General features: G+C 52.5%; 1 protein-coding gene and 1 pseudogene across 8 annotated transcripts in view, besides 1 other annotated feature; both read left to right on the forward strand.

The window, feature by feature from the left end:
- The window catches only part of BMP8A (bone morphogenetic protein 8a), a 38,234-nt gene that overhangs the window by 2,859 nt on the left and 17,685 nt on the right, over positions 1-17,690 (forward strand). For all 8 annotated transcript variants that reach the window (XR_946641.3, XR_946640.3, XR_946642.3 and 5 more), the window contains exons 2-3: positions 16,680-16,869; positions 17,262-17,410. Coding sequence is in view for 5 of the 8 variants with exons in the window: in NM_181809.4 (NP_861525.2) it covers positions 16,680-16,869; positions 17,262-17,410 (339 nt within the window). In the remaining 3 variants the exon portion in view is untranslated. The remainder of the gene's footprint in view (positions 1-16,679; positions 16,870-17,261; positions 17,411-17,690) is intronic.
- Positions 10,029-10,101, forward strand: TRK-CTT12-1 (tRNA-Lys (anticodon CTT) 12-1; annotated as a pseudogene).
- Positions 15,066-15,125: an enhancer, noted in NCBI's record as "active region_811". NCBI's record gives its function as "activates an Ori minimal core promoter by ATAC-STARR-seq in GM12878 lymphoblastoid cells {active_cell/tissue: GM12878}" and the evidence as "EXISTENCE:reporter gene assay evidence [ECO:0000049][PMID:35858748]".

Below are 17,690 nucleotides of genomic sequence, written 5' to 3' on the forward strand. Positions count from 1 at the left end.
CGCACACCACCACACCCAGATAATTTTTAAATATTTCTTGTAGAGACGGGGAGTCTCACTGTATTGCCCAGACTGGTCTTGAACTCCTGAACTCAAGCAATCCTCCCACCTCAGCCTCCCAAAGTGCTGGGATTACAGGCGTGAACCACCATGCCTGGCCACGTGTGAACTTTCACAGCCTTACAATTCCTCATTTAATTCATGTGAGACTGTTTTGCCAGCCCCATTTCATGCGCTCAGAGAGATTAAATGGCCAGCCCAGGGCCACACAGCACATCCAAGGTGACATCCATGGCTGTGGATTCCAAATCCCAGCTTCTTCCCACACCAGCTCTGAGCACTTCATGAAGACTCGGGGCCTCCAGCGCCGTGGGATTAACAAGCAGATCGTTGTTAGTGGAAGCCCAGGCTGTGGGTGGGCGCAGCCAGCTGTCAGAAAGGCCTTCTTTATTCTGCTGTGCTAACTGCACTAGTAGAACTGTCTCAGAGTAGCTTTAACTGGTAATTACTGAGGCTGGGTGGGGCGGGGTGGGTGGGGGGTGGATAGACACGTACCAGGATGCTCTCAGTGTTTGGAGGCCCCTGAAGGTTGGTGGCCCCAGAGCCACCATGGGATCTAATAGCAGGGTCGCTGTGGTGTCACTGCCCACACCCAGGCTCTCACACCTGCTTCTGCCAGCTCCACCTCTCCTATCAGCCTCATCTGAGTCCTGAAAAGCCAGGCCTGGTGCCCCTAGGGCCCAACTCTTGATGGCAGCCTGTGGGACCCAGAGGGCGGGGCTCTCGCTGGCTTCCCACCCATGGGTTCAGGCCTCCGTGCAGAGCAGGTGCTTTAGGAAGCCAAGCCTGCGTCCTGATGTTCAGAGCCTGCACTGGGAGGCCAGGGCTGGGGTCAGAGCCGGGGCCCTGCCTGGCCTGTCATCCATATCAGCCTGTAGACCTGGGCTCTCTTGGGCAGGACAGTGATGGAGCGGTTGGATTCTGTCCCTGGTCTCTCTGTGCTCAGGGAGGGGAGAGCCCTGAGCTGGGAGGCAGGACCCAGGTTCTTGTGCTGCCTGGGCCCACCATTAACTCCTGCATGTCCTGAGCCACGGCCCTTCCCTTCCCTGGGCCTCTGCTTTCTCGTCCATTCTACGGTGATGGCATCAGAAAAGCAAGGTGCCTCCCAGCCCTGACCCTGTGGCTCTGTGGCAGAGGCGCCTTCTCACAACACCGCCATGCCTTGGCCCCAGTGCCTCAGGGCAGCCCGGCCCCTCCTGAGGGAGGAAGGATGGCAGGAAGGACCACCTCTGCACACTCCTTCTGAATCCTTCTCCACCCATCTCAGCAGAGAGGCAGGTGCCCATGTTCCAGATTGAGAAACTGAGGCATAAGCAGGACTAGCAGGCAGAAGTCCAGCCAGGATCAGAATGCAGGCAGCTTCATTTTTGTCCTGATCCCTTCCTGAACCAGACAGATTTGCTCCTGTGGTCTCCGGTGGCCATGGACAGGGGTGTTGATGAACAGAGCCGTCTGGATTTGGGAGAAGCAGGACTGAGTGGGAATTCGGGACCTGGCCCGGGTCCTGCTCTGCCCTTGCCAGCCGTGTGACCTGGAACGGTGGCACCATCTCCGTGGGCCCCAGGGCCACTTCCTTTGGTTCTTTACCAGGGACCTCTTTCATTTTCCCATTCATTCATTCAGCAAATAGTTCTGTAGCACCTACCACGGACCAGGCAGAGTTCTAGTTGCTGGGGATATAACAATGAGAGAAGTAAAGTCCCTGCCCTCAGGGAGATGACTTTCTAGTCTAGAGACACATAATACATACATGAGCCCTAAAGGTAATTGTCGGGTGTGCTAGACAGCAACGCCCCATCGGGAAACAGGAGGGGCTGAACAATGGCAGGACAGACAGGGCTAGATTGGGGGTTTCTGACCTGAGACCCACACACAAGGAATTTGCATCCTGACGCCAACACCTGATCTCAGTGTGATCTGGGCTTTCCAGTCAACCTCCCCAAGCCTCAGTTTCCTCCTCTGTAAAATGGAGATACTCATCTTATGGGACTGTTCTGGGCTTGTGTGAGATGATACCCAGCGATGCCCACGTGCCCAGAACCTCTGCATCTCTTCCTTCATTGGTATCTCACAATTGCCGTCACATCTGTGTTTGAAAGAGAGGAGAGAGAGGCTCAGAGCAGTTAGGTGGTTTTCCCAAGGCCACACAGCAGGTTGTCCCCCTGCCTCCATGTGAAACACAGCAGCTGCCTCCACCCCAGGCCAGGTCCCCGCCTATCATTAGATGCAGTAAGTGCTGTCGAATTGAACTGAATGTGAATGTGTATTGTAAGCTGAGAAGCCTGTTGTTAAAGAATTTTTATTTTGGGGGAATTTATAGAAATAATGCATGCTCATTCTACAAAATTCAGATTCTGCAGAAGCATGTAACTTGGGTGCCCCTAGGGAGCCCCATTCCTACCAGACAATCCTTCCGGCAACTACTTTCTGATTTTCATTGCCATGGCCTGTTCTTTGAACTTCACATAAATGGAATCTTACAGTGCATACTCTTGAGTCTAGTCTTTGACTCAGCATGCTTCTTTTTCCATTTTCCTCCATGTTGTTGTATCTGTAGTTCTTTTTTTCATAACTGAGTTGTATTCCATTGCATGAATATACATACCACAGTCCATCCATTGTTATGGACATTCGGGTTGTTCTGAACACTTTTATCCACATCCCTCTGTGGATATATTAAAGCAGGGATTTTAATCTTGCGTGTGCCATTTGGGAGCTGTGCGATGTTGAGCAGCTTGTTTAAAGTCCCTGAAACTCAGTTTCCACACCTTTGAGGCAAGGTAAGTGAGCCAGCCTCCCGGGGTTGCATGCAGTGTGGCCAGCTGGAAGCCGACACACAGTAGGAACTTCACAAATGGGGGCTGATCGATTGTGCCCCACTTCTGCACCATTGCTCGTTGGGTAGCTCCTTCATAGAATACACTTACCTCCATTTTTGCTTGTGAAAACTCCACCCACTTTTCAATGAAGGTGGGTCAGGGTTTCCATAAATCTCTCTGCCCCTACCCCACAATCCCACAGGGACAGGCTCTTTCCAGGCAGAAGCCCCACCTGCATTGCATGCACTTTTCTTAGGATTCCAGTCGCTTTCTGCCTGTGTGACCCAGGGGCTCACCTAGCCCCTCTTTCTCCTACTCCCCAGCAACCCCTGAACAACCTGAGAACAGGACCAATTCTGACTCTTCCCTGCCCCTGCCCCCCACCCCGTGGCAGGAAGTTGAGGGAAAGAGGAACCCAGCAGGAGGCAGGGAGAGCCAGGAGGAACCTGGGCCTGGTCAGGTGGGACAGAGTGGGGCCGGCCCTCCCTGTCTGTGTGGGGGCCAACAATGGGTGCCATAGCTCCCTGGGCCCTCCCCTGGGACCCCAGGTCCCCACAGGGCCCTGCCTGGAGGAAGGTGGCTTCACGGGCATTCTCGGGTGTCTGTTGATAGGAGGGCCTTGTTGACGGGTGACCCCCATCCCAATATGTCCCATTGAACTCCAGGGCCACTCATTTCACACTGGCCCCAAGTGTGAACATCCACATCAGAGGTCTCTATTCTGACACAGGCCTGTAATCTAACCCTGGAAACCCTCTGCCCCTCCTTGGCCTCAGTTTCCCCATCTCTGCAGGACCTGAAGTCCTTTCCAGCTCTGACCAAAGAATATGCCCACCCCCTGCCTGCTGATGGGGGCTCCTCCGGGCTGAGGCACAGGGTGGGGAGGTGCACCCAGCCCCCCTCCTCCTGGAACCTCTTTCCCACAGGCAAGAGAGGATGTGTCACCATGACCACTTCTTTCTGGAAAATTCCCACAGTTCATTCTTTCCCGGGATTTCACTGGAGGAATTGTGTCTTTCTTGCTAACATCTCCTGGGATCTATTCTTGGCCTTGGCGGGCTTGATGTGGAGGCATGTGTGGGTGTTCTCTTTTAATTTGGGGTCCAGAACTGTCTGAGGCCTGGACCGGTAATTATGAGAGCAGCACCATTTATGGAAACAGCCCTTGAAGCAAGCCAGTGATGAGACCCAGCTGGAAATACCTCAGCATGGAGCCCTGGGCCCGCCTCGAGGCGGTGCTGAGATTTCTGGGTGGGAGAAGCCCCTTCAGGACGCAGAACCAACAGGTCATGAGTCCCGCCCTCCCTTGGCCTGCAGAGGCTGTGGGGCCCAAGCCTTCTTTTGGGTCTGAAGTGCCCCTGCCCCACCGCCTTTGCTGCCTGTGGGACCAGCCAGGCAGGCCCAGCCCATGCACCCGGGGCTCTGGGGGAGCCGCTGTCCACCCTCAGGGGCCAGGCCGGGAGAGGAGGCAGGTCCACAGCAACGGGAATGTCGGTGGCTTCTGATGGAGTCACATGGGGACATGGTAGCCACACCCAGACTGGCAGTGATACCCAGCCCAAAGGGCTCTGAGTGCCGGACACTGAGCCGCTGTCCTGGGGACAAGAGGCCCTTGGGAAGAAGGGGCCGGGGCACCCCCGCTCTGGGGCCCCGGAACACAGCGGCCGATGAGCTGACATGCGAGCCTCCCATGTCCACCCACATGGCTCCATCCCGGCCCTCCAAGGGCTCGCTGTCCAGAGGAACAGCTGAACCAGAGACAGCAAGCCCTGGCATGGGGGCCGGGAGAGGCTGAAAGCCTGACCTGCCTGGGGTCTGAGGACTGGGAGCCTTCTCAGTCGGACTGAGAGGGACGGGGCCACCCGGGGAGAGCAGCTTCCAGGAGGGACTCTGCGGGAGGCGTCTGCAGGTAGAAGGCACAAGAGGCCCGAGGGACAGATGGCAGGGCCAGCGCAGGGAGGGCCCTGGGACACTCTTCCTGTGGGCCCTTCGGGGCCGGGGAGGGTCTGAGGGGAGATGGGACAGGTCACAGGCCACAGGATTCTGCTCTGAGCTGGAGGATGAGGGTGTCTTTTGAAGTCCCACTTTTTGGTCAGAAATAAGACAGATTTAGGTTGTCTGAGTGAGACTAAATTGCCCAGAGCACAAAAATAGCCAGAGCCCTTGTTGATGTCGAACTGAGGGTCGCAGGGTTTGGCATCTGGAGGCCTAGCCTGGAGTGGCTGGTGGCCATGCCCGGTGAAGGCCACCTCCTGCCCACAGTGGCCTTTCCTGGAAGAGCAGTGTCCTGAGGTTGCCTTATCCGAGGCTGGAGGAGGAGGCTGAGGGCTCTCTGATTGTTTATTTTCCCAGAGCCACGGTGAGGTGGTTCAGAAAGTAACCTTTTCTGCCTCCCATGTGCAGCTCCGCGTGGATAGCATTGTCTGTCCTGGATTCTGAGCCAAGCCCCCCAGCTGGTGTGTCTCACTGGAACTGGCTGTCACCAGTCCCTGTTGGCTGCAGAAAGCTCTACAGGCGCACTGTGGCCCAAGTGACTTCTCACCTCCCAAGGTCATGCACTGTCACAATATTGGTTGGCAGCAATTGAAGTTTTGAAGTTCTTCCCAAGTCACAGGGCTTCTTTGAATCACTGTGCTGAGTTCTTGGAGGCTGAGAAACAGGATTTCTTGGAGATGAACTGGCCTTGCCTGTCACTCCAACCTCCTCATACACCTCAGCCCCCTGACCACTAGATTCCAACCACACCAGCCTCCTTGATGTTTCTCAAACATGCAGAGCCTTTGTATCCACTGTTCCCTCTGCCTAGAAGGCTGTCCACATCTTCACACAACTGGTTCCTTCTCCTACAGTCGAGGGTATTTTTTTCCCCTTACTTTCCAGGTTTTAGACTAATGAATGGATCCCTAGCATTTTTGAAAGGCAGTGTTTCTCCACTACTGACAATCTTGCCTCCCAGGAAACATTTGGCAATATCTGGAGACCTTTTTAGTTGTTGCAAATGGGGAGGGGAAGGGAGTGCTGCTGTCAGCTAAGGGGCAGAGGCCAGGGGTGCTGCTGAACATCCTGCAGTACACAGAACAGCCCCTGCAACCGAGAGTTATCTGGCCAAAATGTCAGTGGTGCCACAGTTGAGAAACCTGTTCAAGGTGACCCGTGTTTGATAGTGATGATGATGATGGGCTCACCCTTTATTAGATACAAGGTTGTCTTATTCCATCTTGTGTTGCTGTAACAGACTCCCTAAGGCTGAGTAATTTACAAAAAAAAAAAAAAAGAGGTTTATTTTATTTTATTTTTGAGACGGAGTCTTGCTCTGTCACCCTGGCTGGAGTGCAGTGGTACAGTTTCAGCTCACTGCAACCTCTACCTCCTGGGTTCAAGAGATTCTCCTGCCTCAGCCTCCCAAGTAGCTGGGACTACAGGTGCCCGCCACCACACCTGGCTAATTTTTTGTATTTTTAGTAGAGACAGGGTTTCACCATGTTGGCCAGGCTGGTCTCAACCTCCTGACCTCAGGTGATCCACCCGCCTCAGCCTGCCAAAGTGCTGGGATTACAGGTGTAAGTCACCACGCCCAGCCGAAAACAGGTTTATTTGGCATACAATTCTAGTGGCTGAAAGGCTCAAGGCTGGGCAGCTGCATCTGGTGAGAGCCTCAGGCTACTTCAATTCATGGCAGAAAGTGGAAGGACAGTGGGTGTGTACAAAGAGAGCATGTGGTGAGAGGAAGCAAGAGAGCAAGCCAGACTTTTTAACAGCCTCCCCCATCTAGGGAACTAATCCATTCCCCTGAGAGGGAAACCCACCCACTGGCCCCCTCCTCCATGGCATTAGTCTGTGAGTGGTTCATCCCCATGACCCAGACACCTCCCACTAGGTCCCACCTCCGATCACAGCCACATTGGGGATCACATTTCAACCTGAGTTTTGTCAGGGATAAAACACATCCAAACTGTAGCAAGGGGTATATTATCTGTACTGTTCACCTTGCTTTTTTCTTTTTCTTTTTTTGAGACGGAGTCTCACCCTGGAGTGCCATGGCACAGTGACAGCTCACTGCAGTCTCCACCTCCCAGGCTCAAGCCATCCTCCTACCTCAGCCTCCTGAATAGACTATAAGCAAAGTGCCATTGTGTCTGGCTAATTTTGTTTGTTTGTTTGTTTTGTTTTGAGACAGGGTCTCACTCTACCTCAAAACAAAGAGCTAAAGTGCAGTGATGTGATCTCAGCTCACTGCAACCTCTGATGCCTGGCTAATTTAAAAAACTTTTCTAGAGACAGGGCCTCCCTATGTTGCCCAGGCTGATCTTGAACTCCTGGCCTCAAGTGGTCCTCCTGCCTGGCCTCCCAAAGTGATGGGGTTACAGACATGAGCCATCACAGCCAGCTGGGACATTTTCTTGGAAGTACAGTTTCTGAGTCACAGCATGTATCATTTTGCTAGATTACTGCCAGATTTCCTACCCTAGGGATTGTGCCATTTTGCATTCCTGCCAGCAATGCCCAGAAGTGTTCAGGTCTGATCTTAGAGTATCTTACTCATGAGGCCTTCTCAAACATCACATCTAAAGAAACCCCACACTGGGCCGGGCGCAATGGCTCACGCCTATAATCCCAGCACTTTGGGAGGCCAAGGCGGGTGGATCATGAGGTCGGGAGTTCAAGACCAGCCTGGCCAAGATGGTGAAACCCTGTCTCTACTGAAAATACAAAAGTTAGCTGGGCTTAGTGGCAGGCACTTGTAATCCCAGCTACTCGGGAGGCTGAGGCAGGAGAATCGCTTGAACCCAGGCAGCAGAGGTTGCAGTGAGCTGAGATCACGCCACTGCACTCCAGCCTGGCCGACAGAGTGAGACTGTCTCAAAAAAAAAAAAAAAAGAAAAGGAAACCCCACACTGGACTGGAATTGGAGGTGCCAGTATGATCTCAGATATTTAAAATAAAAAATATATATGTACCAATACATACAGATGTGTGTTTTTGCACACATTAATGTACACACATATATTTCCTAGCTCTGTGCACTGAAAGGGCCTAAAAGTATTGACACTCCAGGACAGTGAGCAACCCAGTGCCCAAATCTTGGTTTCTAAATCTCTCTCCAAAAAGCAAAACAAAACAAAACAGAACTCCTTGCAGAAATGGCTGATTCCAGGGGTGGGGATGGAAACTCCCAGGATGCACCTAGAGCATCTTGTGGTGCCAGTTAGAAGTGCTCAGAAAAGGATGATGGGGGCAGTCAGAAGGACACAGGAGCCAACCTGAAGGAGCTGCCAGTGGCCAAAACTGGAACAATTTGAGCAATGAAATAAATAACAATAGTATTGGATATAGCCCATAGAATAAAATAAATACCCTTGAATCCATAATGATATAAATAAATAATTAGGCTGGGCACAGTGGCTCACGCCTGTAATCCCAGCACTTTGGGAGGCCAAGGCGGGCAGATCACCTGAGGTCAGGAGTTCGAGACTAGCCTGACCAATATGGTGAAACCTTGTCTCTACTGAAAAAAGTACAAAATTAGCCATGCGTAGTGGTACACACCTGTAGTCCCAACTACTCAGGAGGCTGAGGCAGGACAATAACTTGAACCCAGGAAGCGGAGGTTGCAGTGAGCCAAGATCATGTCATTGCACTCCAGCCTGGGCAACAGAGCAAGACTCTGTCTTAAAATAAATATTTAAATAAATAAATAACTGTAGAAGAAAGGACAAGTCTTCCTTTCAAAAGAATTCCAGTTAATAAATGTAGAAGGAAAGAAGGAAATAGAAAATCACTATTCCAGCCTGGACAAGATGGCAAGACCCCATCTCTACAAAAAATACAAAAAAAATAGCCAGGTGTGGTGGTACATGACTGTACATGACTGTAGTCCCAGCTACTTGACAGGCTGAGGTGGGAGGATCCCTTGAGCCCTGGGAGGTTGAAGTTGCGTCACTGCACTGCAGCCTAGGTGACCAAGTGAGACCCTGTCTCAAAAAATGAAAAAGAAAGAAAATCACTATTGGCTCATGTCTATGATCCCAGCAAGGTGAGCCAAGAGTTCAAGACCAGTCTGGGCAACATAGTGAGATTTCATCTCTACAAAAAATAAATTAGCCAGGCATAGTGGCATTATGCTTACAGTCTTTCTTTTTTTTTTTTTTTTTTTTTTTTTTGAGATGGAGTCTCGCTCTCTCCCAGGCTGGAGTGCAGTCGTGCAATCTTGGGTCACTGCAACCTCTACCTCCCAGGTTCAAGTGATTCCCCTGCCTCAGCCTCCTGAGTAGCTGGGACTACAGGCACACACCACTATACCTGACTAATTTTTTGTTTTTTGGTAGAGATGAGGTTTCACCATGTTGGCCAGGATGGTCTCGATCTCCTGACCTTGTGATCCACTCACCTCGGCCACCCAAAGTGCTAGGATTATAGGCAGGAGCCACTGCACCTGGCCCATGTATAGTCTTAACTGCTCAGGAGGCTGAGGTGGGAGGATCACTTGAGTTTGGAAGGTTGTGGCTGCAGTAAGCTATAATCACACCACTGGACTCCAGCCTGGGCGGCAGAGTGAGACCCTGTCTCAAAAAACAAAACAAAACAAAAAAAGTATTTTCCTCACGATATTTATTATTTACAAAATGAAAAATCGTGACATTACAGTGGAGAAACCTGGCAGACACCACCGTAACCAGGGAATCAAATTTCACGCCACTAGTAATAAGATAGATTGGTATCATATTGTCCCATTTGATGCTCTGAGAAGGGCATATCACTTTGAAGGGGGCCTGCCCCTCCACGCCTGTGGGTATTTCTCGAAAGGTGGAGATGAGAGACTGAGAAAAGAAATAAGATACAGAGAGACAAAGTATAGAGGAAGAAAAGTGGGCCCAGGGGACCGGCACTCAGCATATGGAGGACCTGCACCGGCACTGGTCTCTGAGTTCCCTCAGTATTTATTGATCACTATCTCTACCATCTCAGCGAGGGGGATGTGGCAGGACTATAGGGTAATGGTGGGGAGAGGGTCAGCAGGAAAACATGTGAGCAAAGGACTCTGTGTCATAAATAAGTTTAAGGAAAGGCGCTGTGCCTCGATGTGCATGTAGGCCAGATTTATGTTTGACTTTACACAAACATCTCAATGCAGTAAAGAGCAGTATTGCCACCAGCATGTCTCAGTCGGTATAGTGTGAGACTCTTAATCTCAGGGTCGTGGGTTCAAGCCCCACATTGGGCGTCAGATGAAGGGGGCCTGCCCCTCCACACCTGTGGGTATTTCTCGAAAGGTGGAGATGAGAGACTGAGAAAAGAAATAAGACACAGAGACAAAGTACAGAGGAAGAAAAGTGGGCCCAGGCAGCACTCAGCATACGGAGGACCCGCACCAGCACTGGTCTCTGAGTTCCTTCAGTATTTATTGATCACTGTCTACCATCTCGGTGAGGGGGATGTGGCAGGACTATAGGGTAATGGTGGGGAGAGGGTCAGCAGGAAAACATGTGAGCAAAGGACTCTGTGTCATAAAAAAGTTTAAGGAAAGTTGCCGTGCCTCGATGTGCATGTAGGCCAGATTTATGTTTGACTTTACACGAACATCTCAATGCAGTAAAGAGCAGTATTGTCGCCAGCATGTCTCACCTCCAGCCATAAGGTGGTTTTCTCCTATCTCAGTAAATAGAATGTCCAATCGGGTTTTACACCACGACATTCCAATCCCAGGGATGAGCAGGAGACAGATGCCTTCCTCTTATCTCAACTGCAAAGAGTCCTTCCTCTTTCACTAGTCCTCCTCAGCACAGACCCTTTACAGGTGTCAGACTGGGGTTGGTCAGGTCTTTCCCTTTCCATGAGGCCATATCTCAGGCTGTCTCAGTGCGGGGAGACCTTGGACAATACCCAGACTTTCTTGGGCAGAGGTCCCTGAAGCTTTCCACAGTGCATTGTGTCCCTGGGTACTCAAGACTGGAGAATGGCAATGACTTTTACCAAACATACTGCCTGCAAACACATTTTTAACAAAACACATCCTGCACAGCCCTAAATCCATTAAACCCTGAGTCAATACAGTACATGTTTCTGCAAGCACAGGGTTGGGGCTAGGGTTACAGATTAACAGCATCTCAAAGCAGAAGAATTTTTCTTAGTACAGATCAAAATGGAGTCTCTTATGTCTTCCTTTTTCTACAGAGACACAGTAACAGTCTGATTTCTCTTTCCCCCACACACTTCTGTGGTATTCTTCAAAATCCATAACTTCATTTTAAACATGAGAAAACATGAGACAAACTCAAATTGAGGGGCATGCTACAAATAACTGACCAGCACTCTTCAAAAGTATCAAGGCCAGGCATGGTGGCTCATGCCTGTAATCTCAGCACTCTGGAAGGCCAAGGCAAGAGGACTGCTTGAGCCCAGGAGTTCAAGACCAGCCTGGACAACACAGTGAGCCCTTGTCTCAATAAACAATTGTTTAAAAAATTAGCTGGGCATGGTGGGGTGTACCAGTGGTCCCTGCTACCCCAGAGGCTGAAGTGGGAGGATCACCTGAGCCCAGGTGGTTGAGGCTGCAGTGAGCTGTGACTGTGCCACTGCACTCCAGCCTGGGTGACAGAGCAAGACCCTGTCTCCAAAAAAAAAAAAAAAAAAAAGTGTCAAGGTTGAAAGGGAAGGAAAGACTGAGGAACAGTCAGATCGGAGGGGCCCCGGGGAAATGACACTAAATGTATTCGTGTATTAATAACATGGGGTCCTAGATTGAATTCTTGACAGAAAAAGGATATTAGTAGGACAGTTAGTAAAATTAGAGAAAAGTCTGGATTTAGTTAACAGTATCAATTTCCTGGTTTTTTTGTTTTTGTTTTTGTTTTTTGAAACGGAGTCTCACTCTGTCATCCAGGCTATAGTGCAGTGGCGCAATCTTGGCTCACTGCAACCTCTGCCTCCCAGGTTCAAGCAGTTCTATGCCTCAGCCTCCTGAGTAGCTGGGATTACAGGCACCTACCACCACGCCCAGCTAATTTTTGTATTTTTAGTAGAGACAGGGTTTCACCATCTTGGCCAGGCTGGTCTTGAACTCCTGACCTCATGATCCACCCGCCTCGGCCTCCCAAAGTGCTGGGATTACAGGTGTGAGCCACCGCGCCCCCCCCAATTTCCTGGTTTTCTTATACTACAGGTTGGTTATGTAAGAAGCTGTCATTAGGGGAAGCTATCAGGGAAAGAATGTATGGGAAGTCTCTGCACTGTTCATGCCACTTCTCTTTAGATCTAAATAATCCTAAAGTATTTCAAAATCAAGTTAAAAACATAAATAAGGCAGCCCCCACACTCCCTGCATTATTCCCAGCCCCCCTTCTTTGTGTACTTCCTAGCACTTAGCACATAGGCTAATCTTGTTTGTTAACTTTCCTGTTTGTTATCTGACTTCCCTGCAAGCCTGTAAACCCCACGGGGGCAGGAGCTGCCCCATCTTGCTTACCTCAGTGTCTCCTGCACCTAAATAATGACTTCTGCACCATTAGTACTGCTTTAAAATGTACTGAATAATGAATTAATTCATATTCCTGGCTGTGACCAGGAAAAATGAATGAGGAAAAGTCAGTATTCTTATAAAGCCTTCAGATCATGAGAAGGTAACAGAGTCAGGAACCTCCTCCTTCATGCCCAAAAGTGAAATTATGGGACCCTCAAAAATAGGATCACTGTCCCAGATTTTGCAGACGGGGGAACTAGATGTACTGCCCAGAAACCTTGCTCCAAACATCAATGGCTCCTTTCAGGGCCACCATAGAGAGAGGATTCCTGGCAGGATGTATCTCAGATGATCGGGATCAGGACACTGGCCGGACAGAGAGCATCTCCCTCATGGGCCCCCCAGCCTATCTGAATCTGACAGGGAGCCCTGGAATTAACTTCCCAACCTTACAACTGGCAGCAGAATTTTACTGGGAAAACCCAAGAAATCACATTGTGCAAACCTGGGCCTTTCCCATGAATTCCCTCCATGGACCCTCAAATCAGCAGCCACTGGGAGGCAGCAGCAGGCATTGCATGCTGTATATTGAGGACCTGTCTAGAGGCCTCGAGCGCTTTTGGCCAGTTCCAGCATGGTTTTAATGCCCCATTTCCCAGCATCAGACGGAGGTGGTCCACGGTAGCAGAAGGAGCCCAGCGAGGAGTCAGGGTTCCGTTTCCACGTGTGGGAACATGGGAGGAGATTGTATTTGGTACTTTCTGTCCGAGCCAGAACTGGGGGACCGTCCCAGTGGCATTGCTGAGGTGCTGCCGCTCAGCCAGGCATCTTTGGGAGATTCCAGACCTTGGTTCTATGGGAAGGTGGGGGCTGGGCATTCACTGACAAGGAAATGCTCCCGAATAGGGTGGGAGAAGCATTCGCTGGACCATAACCAAGTACTGACTACCGTCAACAAACCTGGCTCTTCACAGTTTTCATTTGACCCACTGTTTCAAAGTGTTATTTTGCAGGCGTGGACACTGAGCCCAGAAGGTTAAGTGCCTTGACAAAGATCAGGCAGGTGAAAAGGAGGCACCCAGAAGTTGAACTGATAGATTTCTCTCATTCCATACTTTTATTTAGAAAAAAAGAAAACTAGCCGGGTGCAGTGGCTCACGCTTGTAATCCCAGCACTTTGGGAGGCCGAGGCGGGCAGATCACAAGATCAGGAGATCGAGACCATCCTGGCTAACACGGTGAAACCCTGTCTCTACTAAAAATACAAAAAATTAGCTAGGCGTGGTTGCTGGCGCCTGTAGTCCCAGCTCCTGGGGAGGCTGAGGCAGGAGAATGGCGTGAACCCGGGAGGCGGAGCTTGCAGTGAGCTGAAATCGTGCCACTGCACTGCAGCCTGGGAGACAGAGCAAGACTCCGTCTCAAAAAAAAAAAAAAGAAAAAAGAAAAAAAGAAAACTGAACGTCTCCCTTTCCCCACCATGGCTGCTGAGTTTCAGACGTGGTCTTCTGATGGTCCTGGCTGGGTATTGTCACTTTGATACTTTAAGTTGGAAAAGCAGCTGTTAACCTCCAGAGCCATGGCCGCCACTCCTATCCCACGGCCCCTGCCCTTTCACAGCCCTGGGTGGGAAGGACAGAATCCCCACTTCGCAGATAAGGAGACTGATATCACATAGGTTGCCCACAGGGTCGGGACTGGGACCAGGAGCCCAGTTACTGGCCAGAGAATCTACCCTTTTCAATGCTCTCTTAGCAGCTAAAGCAGGGGCTGTCTGCCCATGAACCTTCACAGGGGAAAATCTGGGTCCCAACAAATGCTCTTCCTCAGCCCCAGCTTTTGAGAAATATCTTTTCTATCCAAAGGCACAACCACTGGCCAGCTCCAGACCCACATGGCTCCAGCAAAGAAAGGGCACTCCCTTTGCCCAGTCACAGTAATGCCTATTTCAGTGCCACACCCCAGGAAGTTTTATCAGTTTCTGATAAAAATCATTATTTTCCTAAAAAATTCCCAACTTCCAGGCTTGCCTGGAACAGCCAGGGGAGGCAGTTTCCTGTGCTGGAATTCCTGGGTGGTTTATCGATTTCACAAGCCCACAGCGCGGAAGTTTGGAACTCAGGTCGGTTCAGTTGAGCAAAACTCTTGAGTCAGCCTGGGTAGACCCACAGGTCAGGCGGGGAGGGAGGCCACAGCACGGGCGTCCCCACAGAGCTGATGGGTTTGTGGGCTGTTCCCTCAGTCCTCAGATCCCACATGAAGTCAGCATGTGGTCTGCCAACAGGGACACCACTGAGCCCCAGGACCCACCCAGCAGCCCTGCTGTGCCCTGGGGCACAAGCACATAGAGCCACGCTTTGAAAGCGGACAGGAGAAGCCGGGACTGAGCTGCTCCATCACTGTCGCATGCCCTGTGACAGCCAACAGCATGGACTGATTTTGTCTTGCAAATGGGGGATTCTTACACAGCCATGTAACACAGGGGGATCTGCAGTTCCTGAACCCACTGAAATTGTCACCCAAGTCGTGTTGTGTGAGTGTGTTAGGGAAGAGAGCACACGTGTGTAGATATTCATGGTAGGAGGTCCAGAACTCTGCCATCAGTGATCTCTGCCTATGGGAAGAGATCGTGGCCTGTGTCACGGCATCTGAGCAGCCCGGCTCTCAGGCGAGCTTTTGCTGCATGCCCAGCACCCTCAGGTGCTGTGGGACAAGACAAGTTCATTTTTCCTCCGCCCTGGCCTGGGATGAGCGGCCACCTCCTCCTGCCCACACACGTCTGGCCCCATCCCCCGCCCCGCACAGCTGTTCGCCTGCCCTTGGCTGGACCAGGTTCCCACCACGAGGACAGGAAGTGCTCCCCACATCCGCCTCGGCCCGCACAGCCTGGTGCTTTTCCAAACCTGACTGTGGTCACTGAGCCCAGTAACCAGAGAGAATTTTTAAAAAGACTCACAAACATATCATTGAAATCTCAGTGTTGGGTTTTGGGGAAGGCACTGGGCGGCTCCCACCCCTGCTTTCCGGAAACACAGATTTCTAGAGTTTGAAAGGGACGGGAGGCTAAAGTGAGACTGCCCTAAATATAGCGTCCTGGGTATTTCCGGATATTTCCGGACACCTGGGGAAATGTGGGCTTTATTCCGCAACTACAGCCTTTGTTTGATTGGCAGGCCAGCCCCTGCCACGGGGCCCTGCTGCCCATCTCACTTCCAGCCTGGCCTCTACCCTCACCTCCACTGTGTCTTCTAATTCCCCTCCACCCACGCCGCCTCCCTGCTGCCCCCGTCCCCTGTGCTTCCCACTGGCCAGAGGCGCAGCCCAGGCTCCTGGCCCGGGATTCGCACCCTCAGCAGGCAGGCCGCAGCAGAGCTCATGTGCCGTCCCCAACATCACTGACCTGTGGGCGCCTCCACCCTGTGCATGCGAGGTCCCCTCTCCCTAGAGCACCCTCCCTGCCACCTTCTCCACCTACCAAGACCCATCCCACCCTTCAAAGCCAGTTCAGATGCCACCTGCTCAGATCCCATCACCCAGTGAGACCCTCCGACTTCCCCAGCACCTGACTGGCCTCTCCGGGAGTTGTCACTCCTGCCCTGGTTTTTCTTGTTCCTTTCCACGTTTCCCTTCTTCCTCTTCCAGCTTGTTCCAGAAAGGAAACGTGGGTCTCCTGCCCTCTGCTGTTTCCTGGTGCTTGCTTTCCCTGCCCTGCCCTCAGACCCCTCTGCTCTGGCCCTCTGCCTTGGCTGGCCGGCCCCTGCAGGGCCCGTCTCCCTGACACCATGGCAGATTCGCACTCATGCCTCAGCCCAGCTCAGCTGTCAGCCCTGAGCCCTCCCCTGCCGCACCTCCCATCCAGGCAGCGGGCAGGCTCTGGATGGCTTATGTCCCCTGAGATGCCGTCGGTTATGTCGGTTATGTCCCTGTCTACCAGGTTTCCCTGCAGGGCTGGGGCCCTTTTCTGCCTTGGGTCCAATGTCCATCTTCCCTTTAGCCTGGAAGCTCCCAGAGGAGGCTCCCTCCTGTCTCATCTCTGGGTCCCAGGACCAGCCGGGCCAAGAAGGGGCGCAACGGGAGTTCAGGATTTGGAGCCTGGGGCCTGCTGAGCACCAGCCAGGTGCAGGGCTCAGGGTGAGCCTGGCTGCAGGGCCTCTTGGCCCTGTCTACACCCCGGGACCAAGCCTGGAACAAACGTTTGCACAAAATGAAGCCGGCCCCACCCAGGCCTCCCTGGGTCCGCTCCACCTTGAGTGGTGGGTGTCTGGGGGCGGTGGCTCACACCAGCTCTGCCCCCTCCAGAGCCCGAGCCATTCTGAGTGCCAGCCCAGCGCTGCTTTGTCTTCTAGTGGAGCGAGACCGTGCCCTGGGCCACCAGGAGCCCCATTGGAAGGAGTTCCGCTTTGACCTGACCCAGATCCCGGCTGGGGAGGCGGTCACAGCTGCGGAGTTCCGGATTTACAAGGTGCCCAGCATCCACCTGCTCAACAGGACCCTCCACGTCAGCATGTTCCAGGTGGTCCAGGAGCAGTCCAACAGGTGCCTTCCCCTTGGCCCGGGTGCCCCACCTAACCCCCCACCTCACAGTCTCATGGTCAAGGCAGCCCAGCAGGGAGTCGTGGTGGGCTGAAAGAGAGCCTCAAAGATGGGAAGGATGCTTGGCCCGAGGCCCCTGCACTGTGGGAAGAGCCCCAGTGACAATCCTGACTTCAAGTCCCTGCCCTGCCATCCTGGCTGTGGGGACTTGGACAGGTCACTGAGACTCAGTTTCCCCATGTGTACACCTCTGTGGGCTGAGGCAATGAGATGAGGCTCAGAAGGGGCGCAGCCAGAGTCAGGTGGGAGACGCTCCGGTGACAGCCCCCAGCGGGCCCTGGAGACACGGAGGCAGCTGTGCCGGCCGCCGGTTAATTGTTCTTTCATGTCCACAGGGAGTCTGACTTGTTCTTTTTGGATCTTCAGACGCTCCGAGCTGGAGACGAGGGCTGGCTGGTGCTGGATGTCACAGCAGCCAGTGACTGCTGGTTGCTGAAGCGTCACAAGGACCTGGGACTCCGCCTCTATGTGGAGACTGAGGACGGTGAGGCTGGGGGCTCTGCAGCCCCTGGGGCTTCTCTGTGCCAGCACAGGCAGCGGTAGTGGCTTCCTGTGGCCCTGGGTGCCCGGCCTCACCAGCTGTGCCCGCTGCAAGGGTCACTGAGGTCCAGGGCACGAGGTCTGGCCTAGTGGGGGTGCTCCCTCCTCTCCCTCTGCTTCCCAGGAAGCAGGCGGCTCTTCCCACGGAGCAGCCTCCACCTTGGGAGTTTCTGTCCTGGGAAGGGAAGGAGGGGAAGTGGCTGTACCCTCAGGCACTGAGGCCA

This window comes from Homo sapiens, chromosome 1, assembly GCF_000001405.40.
Source record: "Homo sapiens chromosome 1, GRCh38.p14 Primary Assembly".
Lineage (NCBI taxonomy): Eukaryota > Metazoa > Chordata > Mammalia > Primates > Hominidae > Homo > Homo sapiens.